The sequence below is a fragment of the Homo sapiens genome, chromosome 11 (genome assembly GCF_000001405.40).
Source record: "Homo sapiens chromosome 11, GRCh38.p14 Primary Assembly".
In the NCBI taxonomy this organism is placed as follows: domain Eukaryota; kingdom Metazoa; phylum Chordata; class Mammalia; order Primates; family Hominidae; genus Homo; species Homo sapiens.
The window spans coordinates 68,962,582-68,980,986 of NC_000011.10; the positions used below are offsets into that span (position 1 = coordinate 68,962,582).

The 18,405-nt window shown below is 50.3% G+C and overlaps 1 protein-coding gene across 1 annotated transcript, besides 2 other annotated features; it reads right to left on the reverse strand.

Moving 5' to 3' along the window:
* Positions 350 to 539: an enhancer, noted in NCBI's record as "active region_5149". NCBI's record gives its function as "activates an Ori minimal core promoter by ATAC-STARR-seq in GM12878 lymphoblastoid cells {active_cell/tissue: GM12878}" and the evidence as "EXISTENCE:reporter gene assay evidence [ECO:0000049][PMID:35858748]".
* Positions 17,385 to 17,894: an enhancer, noted in NCBI's record as "H3K4me1 hESC enhancer chr11:68747435-68747944 (GRCh37/hg19 assembly coordinates)". NCBI's record gives its function as "activates a minimal SCP1, AML or CMV promoter by ChIP-STARR-seq in naive and primed H9 embryonic stem cells {active_cell/tissue: H9 hESC(naive and primed)}" and the evidence as "EXISTENCE:reporter gene assay evidence [ECO:0000049][PMID:30033119]".
* On the reverse strand, positions 17,440 to 18,405 carry MRGPRD (MAS related GPR family member D). The gene has a single exon (NM_198923.2). It carries the CDS (start codon positions 18,403 to 18,405, stop codon positions 17,440 to 17,442), a length of 966 nt encoding a protein of 321 aa, NP_944605.2.

The following is an 18,405-nucleotide window of genomic DNA, read 5'->3' on the forward strand; positions in this document are numbered from 1 at the left end:
CTAAGCATGTCATCAATTTGTTCCAGCAGCCACAGGAAATGAATAAAAGGCTCAAAGTCCTGATGTCATGGGCTGGCTGGTGATGGAGAATCTTGAAGGCTGTGGATGTGAGTTCTCACGGTCCTGGCCCGCAGCTGGAGAAGGGCAGGCATGGGAGAGCAGGGAGCATGCTGGCACCAGGTGGCAGAAAAGGGAAGAGCCAGGACTCCAGATACCGAGATACTGGTAGTCCATGTGCTTGGAGACTGATATGATTTGGATCTGTGTCCCTGCCTAAATCTCATGTTGAATTGTAATCCCCATTGTAGGATGTGTGGCCTGGTGGAAGGTGATTGGATCCTGGGGGTGGATTTCCCCCGTGGTGCTGTTCTCGTGATAGAGTTCTCACGGAATCGGGTTGACAGTGTGAGGCACCGCCCCTGTCTCTCTCTTCCTCCTGCTCCCACCAGATGAGATGTACCTGTTCCCCATTCGCCTTCCACCGTAACTGTTTCTGGAGGCCTCCCCGGAAGCTGAGCAGACGCCGCCACGCTTCCTGTGCAGCCTGCAGAACGGTGAGCCAATTCAACCTTTTTCTTTATCAATTACCCAGTCCCAGGTGTTTCTTTTTCTTTTTCTTTTTTTTTTTGAGACAGTGCCTGAGCTCTCTTGTTATCCAGGGTAGAGTGTGGTGCCATGATCACAGTTCACTGCAACCTCCACCTCCCAGGCTCAAGCCATCCTTCCACCTCAGCCTCCTGAGTAGCTGGGACTACAGGCACACACCACCACACTTGGCAAATTTAAAACAAATTTTTTGATTTTTGGAGAGATGGGGTTTTACCATGTTGTCCAGGCTCGGGTTGAACTCCTGAGCTCCAGCAGTCCACCTGCCTCGGCCTCCCAAAGTGCTGGGATTACAGGCGTGAGCCACTGTGCCCCACTGGGTATTCTTTTATAGCAGTGTGAGGATGAATTAATACAGAGACTAATGTGCTTCAGTCAACCCCAGACACTGTAGGGAAATATGGTTATTTTTCCTGCACAGAACAAATTTGCTCTTCCTCTGTGGAGACCTCTTGGGTTTCCCCTATCTCTGGGTTCCAGGTGGGGTTCTGTGGGTTCACATTTGGCCCAGGCCAGCCACAGCATAGTCTACCTCCTGACCAAGGTCATTGTTTCAGGAATGGGCACAGGGCTCCAGCTGGTCTAATTGTCATCACTCCTGGCCCACCTTCTTCTGGGGTTTTGGAGAAGTGTTGAGCTCTCAGCTGGAGAGGAGAGGACCAGCAGGTCTTGCTGGCAGCACGCTTGCCCTCACAGGCTGGAGCCGGCCTGAAAAGGACTTAACAAAGGAAGCCAAAGCTGGGAGCTGGGGAGAGCCAGGCTGCTGATCATACCAGGATCCAGGTATTCCTCATGAAGGATCACACCAGGATCCAGCCATGCCTGAGGCAGGATCACACCAGGATCCAGCCATGCCTGAGGTGAGATCACATCAGGATTCAGCCATGCCTGAGGCAGGATCACACCAGGATCCAGCCATGCCTGAGGAAGGATCACACCAGGATCCAGCTATGTCTGATGCGACATCACACCAGGATCCAGCCATGCCTGACACAAGACCATGCCATGGATGTTCTAATTGTGCATGCCATAACCTCTGAGAAGGAGCATGCTTAATGTAGGTTACAAGGTTTCCATCTCTCAAAACTGCAGGATTCCTTGCTGATGGGGAAACAGCAAGCGGGGAGTGGGGTGTTGCATATGGCAAACTAATGTGTGGGATTGGTGGGGTCTGCGTGGGGTATGGAGGGGGACAGTGAGCTTCTTCTCAATGCCCAGCTGTGCCATTTGTGATGCTGGCGGGAAGGTGGCAAGTTGTTATGCAAGTTCTACTTTGTGTAAACTCTGATGTTGTGCTCAGACTGTGTGTGTCTGCTGAGGAAGGCCTGACATGCATTTGCTGGGACTGCTATTACAAAGCTGCAGGCCAGGCGGCTTACACAACAGACATTGATTCTCCCACAGTCCTGGAGGGTGGAGGTCTGAGATCAAGGTGTCAGCAGGGCTGGTTCCTCCTGAGGCCTCTCTCCTTGGCTGGCAGACTCTGCTACCTTCTCCCTGAGTCACAAGGTTATCCTTCTGTGTGTGTCTGTGTCTTCATCTCCACTTCTTATAAGGACACCAGTTGATATCGTTTGGCTGTGTACAATTCATCTTGAATTGTAGTTCCCATCAGGAGGAACTCGGTAGGAGGTAATTGAATCATGGGGGTGGTTACGCTCATGCTGTTCTCATGATAGTGCGTGGGTACTCGTGTGATCTGATGGTTTTATAAGGGGCTTCCCCCTTTGCTTGGCACACACTTCTCTTGCCTGCCACCAGGTAAGACGTGCCTGTTTTGCCTTCCATGATTGTAAGTTTCCTGAGGCCTCCCTAGCCATGCAGAACTGTGAGTCAGTTAAACCTCTTTTCTTTATAAATTACCCAATGTGTGGTATGTATTCATAGCAACATGAAAACAGACTAATACACCAGTCATGTGGGATTAGGGTCTACCCTAATGACCTCATGTTAACTTAATCACCCCCCTAAAGAATGTAGGGGGTCCTATCCAACAAAATCAGTATTCTGGGGGCTGAATTACCTGAAAATGGGAATAACTGATCTGTGCAGAGAGGTCCCTTCCAACAGGGATTAGCAATTCAAGGAGGTTGACAGTTGTCATAGTTAGTTCCTGCTGCTATAACAAAATACCTTATACCTGGTACTTATACTTATGATGAGTAGAAATTTCTTTCTAGGCAAGAGGATTGCTTGAGCCCAGGGCTTTAAGATCAGCCTGGGCAACATACCAAGACCCCATCTCTACAAAAAATAAAAAATAGCTAGGGGTGGCGGCTTGCACCTGTAGTCCCAGCTACTCAGGAGGCTGAGGCAGGAGGATCACTTGAGCCCAGGAGTTCAAGTCTGCAGTGAGCTATGATTGTGCCACTGTACTCCAGCTTGGGTAACATAGTGAGACCCTGTCTCAAAAAGTAAAAAAAAAAAAAAAAAAGAAGAAGAAAGAAATTTATTTCTCTCAGTTCTGGAGGCTGGGAAGTCCAAGATCAAGGTGCCAGCAGACTTGGTATCTGGTGAAGGCCCAGTCTTGCCTTCATAGTGGCACCTTTTCCTATGTCCTCACATGGCTGAAGGGCAAAAGGGGCTGGCTAGTTTCCCCGATCCCTCTCATAAGGGCACCAGTCACCTCCTAAAGTTCTCACCTCTTAATATTATCACACTGGTGGTTAAATTTTAACATATGAATTTTGAAGGGACACATACACTCAAAACTATAGCAAGAGTCAAGTGAGCTAAACTTGTAGGCAGCGACGAATGCCCCACTCCACACTGAAGTCCCGGCAAAGGCAGGGGTCCTGCCAGCCAACCTGAGAAAGTCCCTCCAGGGCACGCTTCCTGCCTGAGAAGCTGGATGTCATCCCAACTGTGAGAGCCATCTGTCCCCTCAGCTGTGACCTGGGGATGGGGGCAGAGCAGATGAACCATGTTGGGGAAATAGAAATCAAGACCTAAAGGAACACACAGACTCATAAACACAAAAGTAGCAGATTTTATCAGTGAGCAGCAACAGCAAACAACAGCCCAGCCCAGGATGTGGGGAGGTAGCCCCACATGGCTACAAAGCTACAGTGGATCTGCGCTCTGTTTCTATGGAACGAAAGCTACAGTTGGCTGTTATTCCAGCTTGTGTTGGTAGTTACATTGACGCGGGGTGATGTCCTGATTTTCCTACCTCTTTTATCAGTTCCTCCCATGGCTGTCCTGGCAGTGCTCCTATAGTCACAGTTTTTGACATTCTTCAGGAGGATTAAATTCAGTTCAGTTCCTTGCAGTGTCCCCCCAACCCCGCAGATATTGCATGACTGACAGAGCCAGGTTGCAGACCAGGAAGAGCTGGGGAAAATCAGAGGAACATCTTGGCCCTGGTGCCAATTGAAGGACCGTGACTCTGCAAGGCCTTGGCTTTGATTATGGGAGTTGATGGGACGCACATATTCCACAAGACAACCATGCTTTTAAGAGAGTTGGAGGCCAGCCAAATCCCAAACCTGGCCAGCCAATGGCCATGACGTCCATGGCCCCGATGTTGTTCGGTGGGGGATTGTGACCTCACTTCTGGCTTCACTTGAGTTTAACATGCTCCAGACTTGGACAATCAGCCTATTCCACCCCATTGGCTCCATAATTCGTTTTGGGAAAAGTACATCAGTCTCTAGTCCAAGAAGACTCAATTGCAATTTATCCAACAAGAGTCAGTCCCAGAAGTTTTCTGGGAAGTACTGTGGAAAAGGAACTCTCCTCCTTCTGGAGTCACGGAGCTGGTGGGACGGAAGGAAGTCTGCACAGTGGGAACCCATTATGCCAACTAAGGGGGAGTGCCTGCCTGAGAAAAAGGTCACAGTGGAGAGCAGAGCTGATGGAGAGAGAGAAACAGGTTCCTGATGACACTGTTAGGTCACCTGGATCGACCCATGCCTGAAGCCGTGATATTTTGGAGCTTTTAGTTACTAAAGCAAATACATTCCTTTCCCTTTGATCCAGTTTGACCTCAGTTTCATTCTCTTGCTGCCCAAAACATCTCCACTTATGCAGTTACCCAAATGACAATTAAGTGTGTCTGGGTTCCTTGGTTGAGACAGCTATTATCAGCCCTGTCTGACTTAAGGAAAAAATAAAAAAGATAGACATTCATTGGAAGCCTGTGAAGGAGCTGCTGAATTGACTGTTGCCTAGAGAACAGGCTGGAGAAGTACAGGAGCTACTCAAGGGCCAGAAGTGGCCAGGGCGCCTTCTCTTGTTGGTTTACTTGTGTCGAGCTTCAGTTCTCTGGGAGTGTAGGTGTCAGTGGGCAGCCCTAGGCTGTGTATTGGTTTTCCGTGCTGCCATAAATACCAGAAACTTGGTGGCTTAACACAACTGGAATTCATTCTCTCACAGTGTTGGAGGCCAGAAGTCTGAGATGAAAGCAGGGTCAGGTTGGCTCCCTCTGGATGCTCTAGGGGAGGATCCGCTCTTTGCCCCTTTCCCAGCTTCTGGTGGCTCCTACAACCCTGGCGTTCCTTGCCTTGTAACTGCCTCACTCCAGCCTCTGCCTCCTTCATCAGGCAGTGTTCTCCTTTCCATCTCTGTCTGTTCACATGGCTTTCTGATAAGGACACCTGCCATATTGGATTGGGGCCCTCACTTCTCCATATGACCTCATCCTAGCTAAGTACATCTGCAAAGACCCCATTTCCAAATCAGGCCACATTCTGAGATTCTGGTGAGTGCGGCATTTTGGGATACACCCTTTCACCCAGTGCAGGCCACGCCTGTCCCTGGTTGTATGAGACGATGAGGAGGATTTTCAGCAAGGGGTTCCTTATGCTTCCAGGGCACAAGGTACTGGATTTACCCTCTCATCAAGTCAGGGTGGCCATTCCTACCAAGGGTGTTCTGGATGCTTTAGAAAGGGGATTGGACGTTGGACCCACCGCAGGCAATAGGGCCACCTATCTGTACACGTCCTTTCTCTAGTGCATGCACTTCCCAAATATCCCTCTCCCCATGGCCAGAGCATCCGAGAATGTCCTGGCGCATCCTTCGCCACATATGTCCCCAGTCCTGGGGGACAGCATCCTCTGGGTCCTCTGTGGGGAGTGGTGAGTGGCAGAGTGGCTGCCGTGGGAGATTCACCTGTTTTTTTCTGACGTATTTGAGTTCTTCCCTCTACATTCTATGCAGCGGGCTTTCTGTCCTCTGACTTCCCTGGCCTGGGTGAGTTTCAGATCCATGCTAACCAGATTCTTAGGCCACATCCAACCCTGTGGGCCTGGCCGTGGGACGCAGGGGCTCTATAAATGCACGCATATCGACGCATTCCATTCGATCTTCAATAACGGACTCCCTCCTCTGTTAAGCGCTCCCAAAATGTCATTCCCACAGAAATCACCCAGATGTTGAACAGCAGAGTATGAAATTCCTGCGTTCCTCTCCAGCCACCCTGGGTCACGCAGGGATCTGATCCAAGGTAAGGATGACTGTGAGGGTAGGGCGGGGGGAATCTTGTTTCCTGTAATGCAGCTCCCTGGAGAGGGCAGCAGCTCCCTGGAGAGGGCAGCAACTCTTCTAGGAAGGCTGGGACCGCCTCCTCAGATCGGGGAGGACGACCTCCTTCAGGCAGAAGAAGCCCCTGGGTGGTTCTTCACGGTTTGGCTGGTTGGGGTCAGGATCTGTCCTGTGTCTTCCGGGAATTTCCGAATGTCTCCTTTTCCATGGATGGATGTGCAGCCTCTTACAAGGAATGCCTGGCTCATGGTGAGTGCTCAGAAATGTTTGTGGAGTGAATAACAGACCCATGAAGCTGTGAATTCCACAGGCGTCTGATCTAGCCAACTGCAGAAGTGCATCGTGAGAGTTGCTTTTCCCAAATCAATCAGCGCCCAGGCTACAAAAACAGGCAGAGGAGGTGGTTCTTCCAGCACTGCATAGGAAGTCTTAGGTTTCGGCCGGGCGTGGTGGCTCACGCCTGTAGTCCTTGCACTTCAGGAGGCCGAGGCGGGTGGATCAAGGAGTCAGGAGTTCAAGAACAGCCTGGCCAAAATGGTGAAACCCCGTCTCTACTAAAAATAAAAAAAAAATTAGCAGGGTGTGGTGGCAGGTGCCTGTAATCCCAGCTACTCGGGAGGCTGAGGCAGAGAATTGCTTGAACCTGGGAGGTGGAGGTTGCAGTGAGCCGAGATCACGCCATTGCACTCCAGCCTGGGCGACAGAATGAGACTCTCTCTCTCTCTCTCTCAAAAAAAAAAAAAAAAAAAAAAAAAAAGTCTTCAGCTTCAGTCTGAATCTCAAAATAAGAAGTTAGAGGCTGACTTGTCACTATGTTGAGTAAGGTATGCAGGGCAGTCAGATGCCGCCACCCTGGCCCAGGGCCTGAGTATTCTCCTGCTTTTCATGAACGTGTATGGCAGCAGCTGCAAGCCCAGTATCGACCCTCAAGCTGTCCCCGGTTAACTCCTGACCATCTGGAATTGGAAAGGAACTTCTCTGCCTTCCATCCAGGGGGCACATTATTTTGTGGGACCTAAAGCTTATCCATCCAAGGAGTGGCGCTTATTAAGAAAAAGAATACAGGCTGGGCGCGGTGACTCACGCCTGTAACCCCAGTACTTTGGGAGGCTGAGGCGGGAGGATTGCTTGAGCCCAGGAGTTCAAGACCAGCCTGGGCAACATGGCAAAACCCCATCTCTACAAAAAATACAAAAATTAGCCTGGCATGCTGGCACACGCCTGTAGTCCCAGCTACTCAGGAGGCTTGAGGTGGAAGGATCACTAGAGGCCAGGAGGTCAAGGCTGCAGTGAGCCGTAATCGTGCCACTGTACTCCAGCCTGCGTGACAGAGTGAGACCCCCCATTTCAAAAAAAAAAAAAAGGAATATGAATTTATAAATACAAAATTAGGGACAACATTGAACACTTATTTAAAACGAGAAAAGAAATCACAGCAAATTACAGATTTTAAAAAGCTGACAAATATCACAAGTAATACATAATACAGAAAAACAGTCGTGATAATTTTTTTACCTTTTTTGGCTGACACTCTTTGATATCCTTTTCAGATGTCAACGGTTTTGAATATTTTCCACAGTGAGAATCAAAAGCTAATTCAATCTTGTTTTAGCATGGGTGATCAAAATGTGTTTTGTATTGTTTTTAGATGTTTCTTAGCTTCACAACTGATTATTGCTAATGTCCTGTACATTTTTCGGATTGTTGTCAAATTTTGAAGACCCCTCTCAAGTTGTTTTTCATATATGATTGGTGAGATTTCAGGGCATTTCAGCTTTTCTTGTGCAGTGATTAATCTGAAATAGTCTTTGAAGCGATAACACTCGTTAATTCATTATTGTCAATGTCCGTGCTGCAGTGGTTTTTCAAGATGTAAGTTGTCTTCCTTGATGTCAAACCAGCAAGAAATTTAAATATTTCCCAATATGTTCATAAAATGTACTCCTCATCATGAATTGGACGATCAAAAATCCAGGAGCCTACTGATTTCTTCTATTCCAAATTGATCTTTTCCTCTTAATGAATTGCTTTTGGTTACAATTCAGTTCTCAGTTTCAAACTGATTTCTGTTGATTTCAATATTCATCTTTTATCCCATCTGTTTCATATCCTGTTAATTTTTACCTGAACTTTCTCTTAGTTCTTTAAGAAATCAATAAATTTAAAGATAACAAAATAAGGTCCTCTTCATTTCTCAACTTGTCACTCTAATTCTCTCTCCTTGAAATCCAGAATTGGACCTGAGGGGCAAATGCAGCTTCTGTGGGACTGGATCCGAGGCAGGAGAACTTGGGCTTTGGAACTGGCTATTCCTCCAGGATGCAGGGGCAGAGGTGGCCCGTGTGCAAGACAGAAGGATGGAGCCGATGTACAGAGAGGCAAGTGGTGAGAGCAGGGGGCAGGGTGGTCCTGAGTTCCTGTGCCTCTGCCATTTCTGGAAGGTTCTGGTGCCTTCCAGAGGGAGACCCAGTAGCCAATCTGCCCTGGGGCTCCCTGATTTCATCGGCAAGCTCCCTGAGCACTGGTGCCCAGTCTCGTAGGCCAGATCAGATACAGGTCTTTGATCATGGCCGGAGAGGGACCCGCAGCATGATCAGGAGGGTGGAGGCTGACTCTGTTGGAGGAAGAGTGGCAATCAGACCACCCCTGAGAGAGGGGCATTTGGAGTACATCTGATTCCCTGATCTGGATGCCTTCTCCTTCCTCTTTGTCCAGTGTATCCTTATTATCCTTCAAGGCATAGGCAGTGCCTGCCTCCTCCGGGAAGTCCCCCAGACTTTCAAGCCCTCACTTCCTTCTCCTGAGACTCTCCATTCCCCTTATCACATCTACAGCCCTTACTGTTCTTTTTTAATTTTTAAGAAATGGAGTCCACCTCTGTCACCCAGGCTGGAGTGCATTGGCACACTCATAGCTCACTGGAGCCTTGAACTCCTGGGCTCAAGTGATCCTCCTGACTCAGCCTTCAGGGTAGCTGGAACTACAGGCTTGTACCGACACACCCAGCTCTGTTCTGTCTTTTTAAGTGGATTGGTTTTGTCTGCCCAACTAGTCAGTGAGCTCTTTGACAACTAGGACCATGGTTTCTGTTTCTGTTTTTCACCTTTGCTGCAAATGCAGTGCATCTTTAATAAGCAATGACCTGGCCAGGCGCGGTGGCTCACGCCTGTAATCCCAACACTTTGGGAGGCCGAGGCAGGTAGATCACCTGAGGTCAGGAGTTTGAAACCAGCCTGGCCAACATGGCGAAACCCCATCTCCATTAAAAATACATCTCCATTAAAAATCCTGTATTAAAAATATTTTTAATATAAGAGCTGGAGGCAGGGACAGGGAACAAAGGGTGACAGCCACCCCACCTAAGCCCAGTGGACTGAAAACAGGGAAGAGGCACGCTCAAGTTAAAACTGGCAGGCATGGCTGGGCATGGTGGCTCACGTCTGAAATCCCAGCACTCTGGGAGGTCAAGATGGGCGGATCACTTAAGGTCAGGAGTTTGAGACCAGCTTGGCCAATATGGCAAAACCCGTCTCCACTAAAACTACAAAAATTACCCGGGCATGATGGTGGGTGCCTGTAATCCCAGCTACTCGGGAGGCTGAGGCAGGAGAATCACTTTAACCCAGGAGGTGGAGGCTGCAGTGAGCCGAGATTGCTCCACTGCACTCCAGCCTGGGCGACAGAGCAAGACTCCATCTCAAAAATAAAAATAAAAATAAAAATAAAAATAAAAAAAAGCAGCAGCAATGACCTGTTGAATGTGCTGGATGGCTTTACTTTAATGCCTCCTCTGAGACACACTTGTGCTGTGCCGCATGCCAAGCATATAGTGGACACCTATTATTGACCCTCTCAGCCTGAGATGGTAGAAGTCTAACTGCCCAATGGGTTCACCTTGCCCATTTAGACAAGAGCCCATTTAGACAGAGCCCATTTATCAAGACGGGAATTGCAATGGAGAAAGAGTAATTCATGCAGAGCTGGCTGTGCAGGAGACTGGAGTTTTAATAATTCTCAAATCAGTCTCTCTGAGCATTTGGGGATCAGAGTTTTTAAAGATCATTTGGTGGGTAGGGGCTTGGGAAGTGGGGAGTGCTGATTGGTCAGGCTGGAGATGGAATCACAGGGGATCAAAGTAAGTTTTTCTTGCCGTCTTTTGTTCCTGGGTGGGATGGCAGAACTGGTTGAACAAGACTACCGGTCTGAGTGGTGTCAACTGGTCCATCGAGTGCAAGGTCTGCAAAATATCTCAAGCACTGATCTTAGGTTTTACAATAGTGATATTATCCTCAGGAGCAATTTGGGGAGGTTCAGACTCTTGGAGCCAGAGACTGCATGACCCCTAAACTGTAATTTCTAATCTTGTAGCTAATTTGTTAGTCCTGCAAAGGCAGACTGGTCCCCAGGCAAGAAGGGGGTCTTTTTGGGAAAGGGCTGTTATCAATTTTGTTTCAGAGTCAAACCATGAACTGAATTCCTTCCCAAAGTTAGTTGGGCCTATGCCCAGGAATGAACAGGACAGCTAAAAGGTTCGAAGCAAGACAGAGTTGGTTAGGTCTGATTTCTTTCACTGTCATAATTTCCACAGTTATAATTTTTGCAAAGGTCGCTTCAATCAGAAGGAGCTGGAGCCAACAGTCAAGGAGCGGCCAGAGGAATTTGATTCCAGGGCTGGTTCTGCCACTTGGCAGCTGTCACTATCTAAGGGAGACAATGTTCCCACCTACCTCAGGGAGTGACCTGAAGGTTAAATCAGACCATGATGTTCTGTCTCATGTGCACGGATGAGGGAGAGGAGGCCTCAGGTCGTGACAACTGGCCAGTGTGCCCCAAAGACTGGACAGAAAGTAAAAGCTCAGACATTCACCTGGGGTCCACAACAGAGACAGGCACATAATAGGGGTCTGAGAAATGTTTATTCAGTGCATGAATAAGTTATGTTAACATCCTGTTAATTTCAGAGCATCAGTTCCTAGACAGTATCACAAATGGCAACATGAAGAGTTAGGGAAAAAGAAAACAGCATGAATTTGCATCGTGGGGCAATGCTTTGGCGTATTGATTGTGCCTTGCTTTTCCTGCAGTCCTTTTCTGCCCCTTTCTTTCCTTTCTTGCAAACAAGGCAGGAGCTGCTCTGGTTGAGACAGTGAGAACTTGCCTATATCACCTCTCCTGGCCCACCAGAGTGCATGGCTGTGTGTCTGGAATTGGTGGGTTCTTGGTCTCACTGACTCCAAGAATGAAGCCGTGGACCCTTGCGGTGAGCGTTACAGCTCTTAAGGTGGTGCGTCTGGAGTTTGTTCCTTCTGATGTTCGGATGTGTTCAGAGTTTCTTCCTTCTGGTGGGTTCGTGGTCTCACTGGCTCAGGAGTGAAGCTGCGGACCTTCGCGGTGAGTGTTACAGCTCTGAAGGCGGCATGTCTGGAGTTGTTCGTTCCTCCCAGTGGGTTCGTGGTCTCACTGGCTTCAGGAGTGAAGCTGCAGACCTTCGCAGTGAGTGTTACAGCTCATAAAGGCAGTGTGGACCCAAAGAGTGAGCAGTAGCAAGATGTATTGCAAAGAGCGAAGGAACAAAGCTTCCACAGTGTGGAAGGGGACCTGAGCGGATTGACACTGCTGGCTCCGGCAGCCTGCTTTTATTCTCCTATCTGGCACCACCCACATCCTGCTGATTGGTAGAGCCAAGTGGTCTGTTTTGACAGGGCACTGATTGGTGCGTTTACAATCCCTGAGCTAGGCCCAGCGAGAAATTGAGCGCAGCACCAGTGGGATAGCACTGCTGGGGGACCCAGTACACCCTCCGCAGCCGCTGGCCTGGGTGCTAAGCCCCTCATTGCCTGGGGCCGGCCAGCTGCTCCGAGTGCGGGGCCCGCCAAGCCCACTCGCACCTGGAACTCCAGCTGGCCCGCAAGCGCCGTGCCCAGCCCCGGTTCTTGCTCGCGCCTCTCCCTCCACACCTCCCTGCAATCTGAGGGAGCCGGCTCCAGCCTTGGCCAGCCCAGAAAGGGGCTCCCACAGTGCAGTGGTGGGCTGAAGGGCTCCTCTAGTGCCGCCAAAGTGGGAGCCCAGGCAGAGGAGGCGCCGAGAGCGAGCGAGGGCTGTGATGACTGCCAGCACGCTGTCACCTCTCAGCTGGACTACATTTCCCAGACTCCTCTGTGGTATGGGTCACATGACTGAACTCCAGCCAGTGGAATGCTTCATGGTAGAGGCCTGCCATGTTTGACCTCTCCTCTTTTCTCCTCCCATCCTCTGGCTGAATGAGAGGCCATGAGGATCTGGCAGAGGGCAGAGCCATAAGGTAGAAGTGAGGTAGGAGGTGGACCACGACTCCAGAGGCAGGGTTTGAACTTTTGGCCAGATTGGAAGACTTTTGGCCAGATTGAAGACAGGGAAGAGGGGAAAGCACCTGACCTTAAGACACACCCACCAGTGCCATGTCAGTTTGCCATTGCCATGGCAACACCTGGAAGTTACCGCCCCTTTTCCATGACCAGGATCTGATAACCTAGAAGTTACCACCTTATTTCTAGAAATTTCTGCATAATCTACCCCTTAACTTGCATATAATTGAAAGTGGGTATAGGCCAGGTGTGGTGGCTCACACTTGTAATCTCAGCACTGTGGGAGGCTGAGACAGGTGGATTGCTTAAGCCCAGGAGTTCAAGATCAGCCTGGGCAACATAGTGAGACCTCCTTTCTATAAAAAATATAAAAATTAGCTGGGCGTGATGGTGTGCAGCTGTAATCCCAGCTACTATGGAGACTTAGTGAGGAGGATACCTGACCTTGGGAGGCAGAAGTTGCAGTGAGTTGAGATTGCACCACTGCACTCCAGCCTGGGCAACAGAGCAAGATCTATCTCAAAAAAAAATTTTTTTTTAAAAAGTGGGTGTAAATATGAGTGCAGCACAGCCTCTGAGCTGCTGATCTGGACACACTGCCTATGGGGTAGTGTGCTTTGCAAGGAGCAGTACCTCTGCCACTTCAATGAAAGTTGCTGTCTTAACACCACTGGCTCACCTTTTTTTTTTTTTTTGAGATGGAGTTTTGCTCTTTTTGCCCAGGCTGGAGTGCAGTGCAATGGCCTGATCTCGGCTCACCGCAACCTCCGCCTCCCGGGTTCAAGCGATTCTCCTGCCTCAACCTCCCAAGTAGCTGGGATTACAGGCATGCACTACCATGCCCGGCTAATTTTGCATTTTTCGTAGAGACAGGGTTTCACCATGTTGGTCAGGCTGGTCTCGAACTCCCGACCTTAGGTGATCCACCCGCCTCGGCCTCCCAAAGTGCTGGGATTACAGGCGTGAGCCACCGTGCCCGGCACCACTGGCTCACCTTGAATTCTTTCCTGGGCAAAGCCAAGAACTCTCCTGGCTGAGCCCCAGTTTGGGGGCTCACCTGTCCTACATCATCAGAAGCCTGGGTCTCTGAGTGACAGAGTAGAGCAGAGCCTCCCATCCACCTGCATTGGTCTATGGTATAAGCAAGAAAACTTTCATTATGCTGCACCATGAGATTTGAGAACGCTTTATTACAGCAATTAGCCAGTGGAGGTGATGGAAGTTGCAGATAAATTTGGGACTCTGGGAACAAAAATCAGGTGACCTGATAATGGCTGCCACAGGAAGTAGATAACGACAAGGATGGAGGAGACAATGTCCAGTCCGTGGGAGGCCACGACTGAGAGGCAACTCCTGGGATGGGGAGTGGGGAGCCTGGAGTTGACTGGGCCCTTCCTGAACTGACTGCACCCAAGTCTCTGCCAAGAGTCCTACTGGGGGCTCCAGAGAAAGGAAAGTACCATGATAGAAAATAAAGAACTTGGTACTGTTTGCCTCCTGACGCTGTGGTCTGCAGCATTTATGTATGCTTTGTTCATCTCTATTAAACAAGCAATCTGGAAGCCACCTATTTCCAAACCAAACCAAGCTGTGTTTGTTGGCCTGATCAAGCTGTTCTTGTCAGGAATTCCTTTCTGGAATCACTTTTGATTGTTTAGAACATGTGTTCTTGATCCAGTTTCCTGCGGCAGCCCGCAGGGGCCTCAGGGGGAGTGCAGGGTGAGGTTGATTGTTCCCATTACACAGCTGGGGAAGAAGAGGCCACAGGGGGGAATACCTGGCCTGAGGGAACCCAGAAGGCAGAGGGGAGCCCCCGTCTCCTCACTCCCAGAGCCAGGCCCTGTCCCCATCAGTGAGTGGTGGGAGGACCCTCATCCTCCCTCCGCATCTGGTTCCCACCTGGGACCCCACAGGGCTGAACCTTGGGATGGGATTGGGGAAATCGGGGGCTCAACAAGAAAACTTGTTTCAGCAAAGGATTGAGCTGTCAGACAGTGTGGACTATGCTACTGGAATTTTATGGTTATTCACACGGAAATCTCCAGCGCTCTAGTGTGGCCAGAGGGCTCGCTGCTCCTGGTTGGATCCAGGGTTTATGGAACCTAAAATTTCTACAGGATTTGGGGCCCTTTTTAAGGGGGAAGAAAAGAAGGAAGGAAAGTTACAAATACAAAATTAGGTATGAAAATGAATACTTATTTAGAATGAGAAAGTAAATCAAACATTGTTTTTTAAGCAAGAGCAGGTAACACAAACTTCATAAAATATTAAAAGCCCTATAATATTTTTAATAATTAGCTGCTTAACAAACCTTTCTAATATTTGTCCTACATTTTTGGCTGCATACTGTTGCTTGCCTCTTCATAGATCAATTTTGTACACTTTCTATGGAGAAAAGAGAAAGATAATTGTGTTTTTCCTCATTGATTGGATTTATTTTAAGTGAGTGATAGCTGGATACATAAAACATGCAACTTCACACAGAGACGTTTTTGCCATTTGTATTCCTGCTCCAGCATTTTGGATACAAAAACAGGGTGTCTCATGAATGGTACTTTCACATTTCCCAGGAGAAAAGAGGTATGGTATGTGTTCTGATTACACATGCTGCATTAGCAAGGATCTTGCTAACAGGTGAGACCTGCTCTGAGCAGGCACCCGTGAGAACAGAACCCCCCATTTAGAGTTGTACATCTGGGGATTGGAGGATTCTTCTATAAGCTAGCTTCTGATTCTGTACATTTCAAATCTTATTTCTTCTCTGTTACCCACTCCCCCACATACTTCCTTTATCTGTTCATTTTTTCAGGCAGCTCTTTGCACGATGCCCGGGGAGCTGGCACAGCAGGCAGTGGCAACGTTTCTGGGAGCCATTCCTACCCTGGGGTGCTAGCAATTGCCTAACCACACACAGAAGTGATCGGAAACCACATAAATGCACCTCACTAAGCCCAAACTGCAGGGACCCCCTAACTCCTCTTCCACTCAGCCCCACCCCCCAAATACCTGTGGGCACACCAGTGCCACCTGACCTAAAGTGGAGTGTGATGGAGGTACCGGAGTAGAAGGTCTAACAGATATATCATTTTATATGTTTTATCGAAACATAACATCATTGTGTGAACAATTTCTAGGGCTCCTCCCCTTGCAAATGAGGGGCCCTGTGGTAGCCACTGAGTGCTAAGAAGCGAGATGTTCTTCCTACCAACCGTCGGCTTTAGACTGGGCCACCTCGTGGCTGCCCAGGTTGGAGAAGGGTTGTGAAGCATGGGGTTTGTAGTCAGAAGATATGGGTTGGATCCTGGACAAAACGTGGGCTGTAAAGCACTGTACAGGCATCAGTTACTCTTACTGGCCAAATGAGCACTTGTTAAGTGCATCTGGCATTTGAGGCCAGTGCTGGTACCAAGTGCTCCGCTAAATGCTGGAACGACTGAGAAAGAGCCACCACTCTGCCTCGCATGCTTCTCTGGGACACACAGACCTGGGGGCCTGAGCCCTAGGTGGGAAAGCACTCAGAGGTAATTTCTCCTTCTGGGAGGGCTGCACAGCCCCCAGCCCAGGGCAATGAACAAACAGGGGGAGCCCAGGAAGGGGAGTCCTGTCCAGGGCACAGTCTTCGAGTCCCCAGGACACCATCACCTGCCACGGCACAGAACCGCAGGCTGTGAGAGTTGATTCCAGGGGTGTATTTTATAGCTTACTGATGAGCTGTCCTCTCCTGTCTCAGGATCTGACCTGTGCCCTGGCTGGCTCGAAGGCTCCATCTTTTGGGAGGAGACTGAAAACTGCTTCAGAAAGATGCCAAGAGAAAGAACAAGATCATTTTCACCTTCTGACATGAAAAACAGGATGACGCAGCCAGGTGCCAGGCTTGCAGGCCAGGCTGTGGTCTGGAGACAGGATCTTTCCACTTCCGTCTTTCCTCCTCCCTCACCTCTTTAAGTCCAGGACTGACTCTGCAGGGACCTCCTGTCTTGCACCCCCTCCATGCAAGCCCCGAGCCTCGAGGCTGGATGCTGGGTGGTAGGAAAGGGCTGTGATTTGTGGAAAGTGCAGGAAACATCTGCCTTGTTCTGGACCCAGGGGACTGTGGGAAGGAAAGGGGGAGGGAGGAGAGTGGAGCCAGCTGATGTGTGTCCCAGATGTTCCGTCTTTGGGCTTTTGGGCAAAGTGAGGGGGCCCTGGGAGGGACAGTCAGTGAGGTATGAGACTCTGGCTCTGGGGGACACTGCCTGGAAGGCTGCCCTCCACTGCCTGGGGCACTGTCCTATCAGCATCTGCTGGAGTGACTGCCAGTGAAGCCAGGCAGAGGCTCTTCCCTTCCCAGTGCGGCCTGGAGGAAAGCGAACAGGCCTGCCCTGGGTGCGAGGGGTGACAGGGTAAGGCGACCTCATAGCAAATGCCAGGGGTCAAGGGCTGGCCAGGGGTCAGAGGGATGGTGGGGCAGAGTCTCATGGCCCACAGCCAGCGAGATCCGGGTCGGCGATGGCGACACCGTTTACTTGCCAGACTTCAGGCACACCTGGGGAAAGGTGCACGGGGGCACCACCTTGGTGGCCAGTTGATGCCACCCAAGGACCAGCATAGGGCCAAAGATCACCCGAGGTCACCTGCCTCCTCCACAAAGATGCCGTCTTAGGCAGAGAAGGTGGTTGGGAGAAAGCTTTCATATTCAAATGAGATTCCTGTTATCCACCCATAGATAACCAGCTTAAAGCAGGGTAGGGCTAAAAGCTAATATTTTCCCCCAACCAGATAATCTGCTATAAACAAATAAATTGCATCTTCCAGCGGGGTTGCATTGTGAGATCCAGGACACAGGTGTTGTGGGGAGTTTTGACATGCAGGGAAGTGACCCCCACATGCAGCTGCAAAGTCCTTGGGGCTCCCCCAAGAAGGCGGGCCAGACACTTGGCAGGGACGAGGTGGGAGGCAGCTCACGGCTCGGGAATCTCCAGGGCATGGGCTCGCACAGGTGGGAAGCACCTGTGGGCGGCTCTCAAGCCCCCATCTCATTGGTGCCCACGGTGGGCGTCTCCCCACCTTCCAGCTCGGGCTCCTCGCGAAGCGCCTGTTGGAGCACAGTCCCCAGGGACCTGGTGGGCAGCCTGTGGCTCCTCCGGCTGCCCACCAGGAAGTAGATGACGGGGTTGGCGCTGCTGCTTACGGACGAGGAGAGGCGTGACAAGCTGAAGCACAGGACCTGCATCTCGGGCGGCAGGCTCAACCAGTAGAGCACAAACCAGTAGATGCTCAGAGGCAGGGAACAGATGAGGAACACCAGGACAGAGGCCAGGACCACCACGAACAGCCGTGTGGGCTGCCGCCGCCACTGCTGGGAGCTCCTCCGCACCCAGACAAAGAGGGTCAGGCTGGACAGAGTCATCACTGGGGTTAAGACCCCCATGATGAGGGCGGCCTGGACCATGTCCACCCTGAAGCACCGATCTTCATTGAATTTCAAGAACTTGCTGCAGAAGGAAGAGGTCAACCCGTTCATCAGGAGACAGAGTGTCCACAGCAGGCCACACACCCAGGCTGACAGGTGCCTGGGCCGGTGACACTTGAACCAGATAGGGAAGAGGACAGAGAGACAGCGCTGGGTGCTGATGGCCGTCAGCAGGCTCAGGCCCACTGTGTAGGCAAAGTACATCAGTCTCTTCATCAGCTCGTGGACCTTGTCAGTGGTATTGACCAGGGGCTGGGTTTCCAGGCTGAGCGTGGAAGCCATGCTGAAGAGGAAGAGGAGGTCGGCTGCCGCCAGGTTGAGGATATAGATGCAGAAGGGGTTCCTGTGCATTCGAAAGCCCAGCAGCCAGATCACCATGCTGTTGCCTGCCATCCCGCACAGGCAGGTGAACATGGCCAGGGAGCTCAGCACCAGGTAGGCCGTGTGCACTGTGCTCCCTCTGGAATAGTTTAGGGCTGACTCCACGGTCCCACTGCTATTCAAAGTCTGGTTCAT

Bases quoted from the DNA above. Each gene is read 5' to 3' on its own strand.
- MRGPRD (NM_198923.2), bottom strand. From the start codon at position 18,405: ATGAACCAGACTTTGAATAGCAGTGGGACCGTGGAGTCAGCCCTAAAC.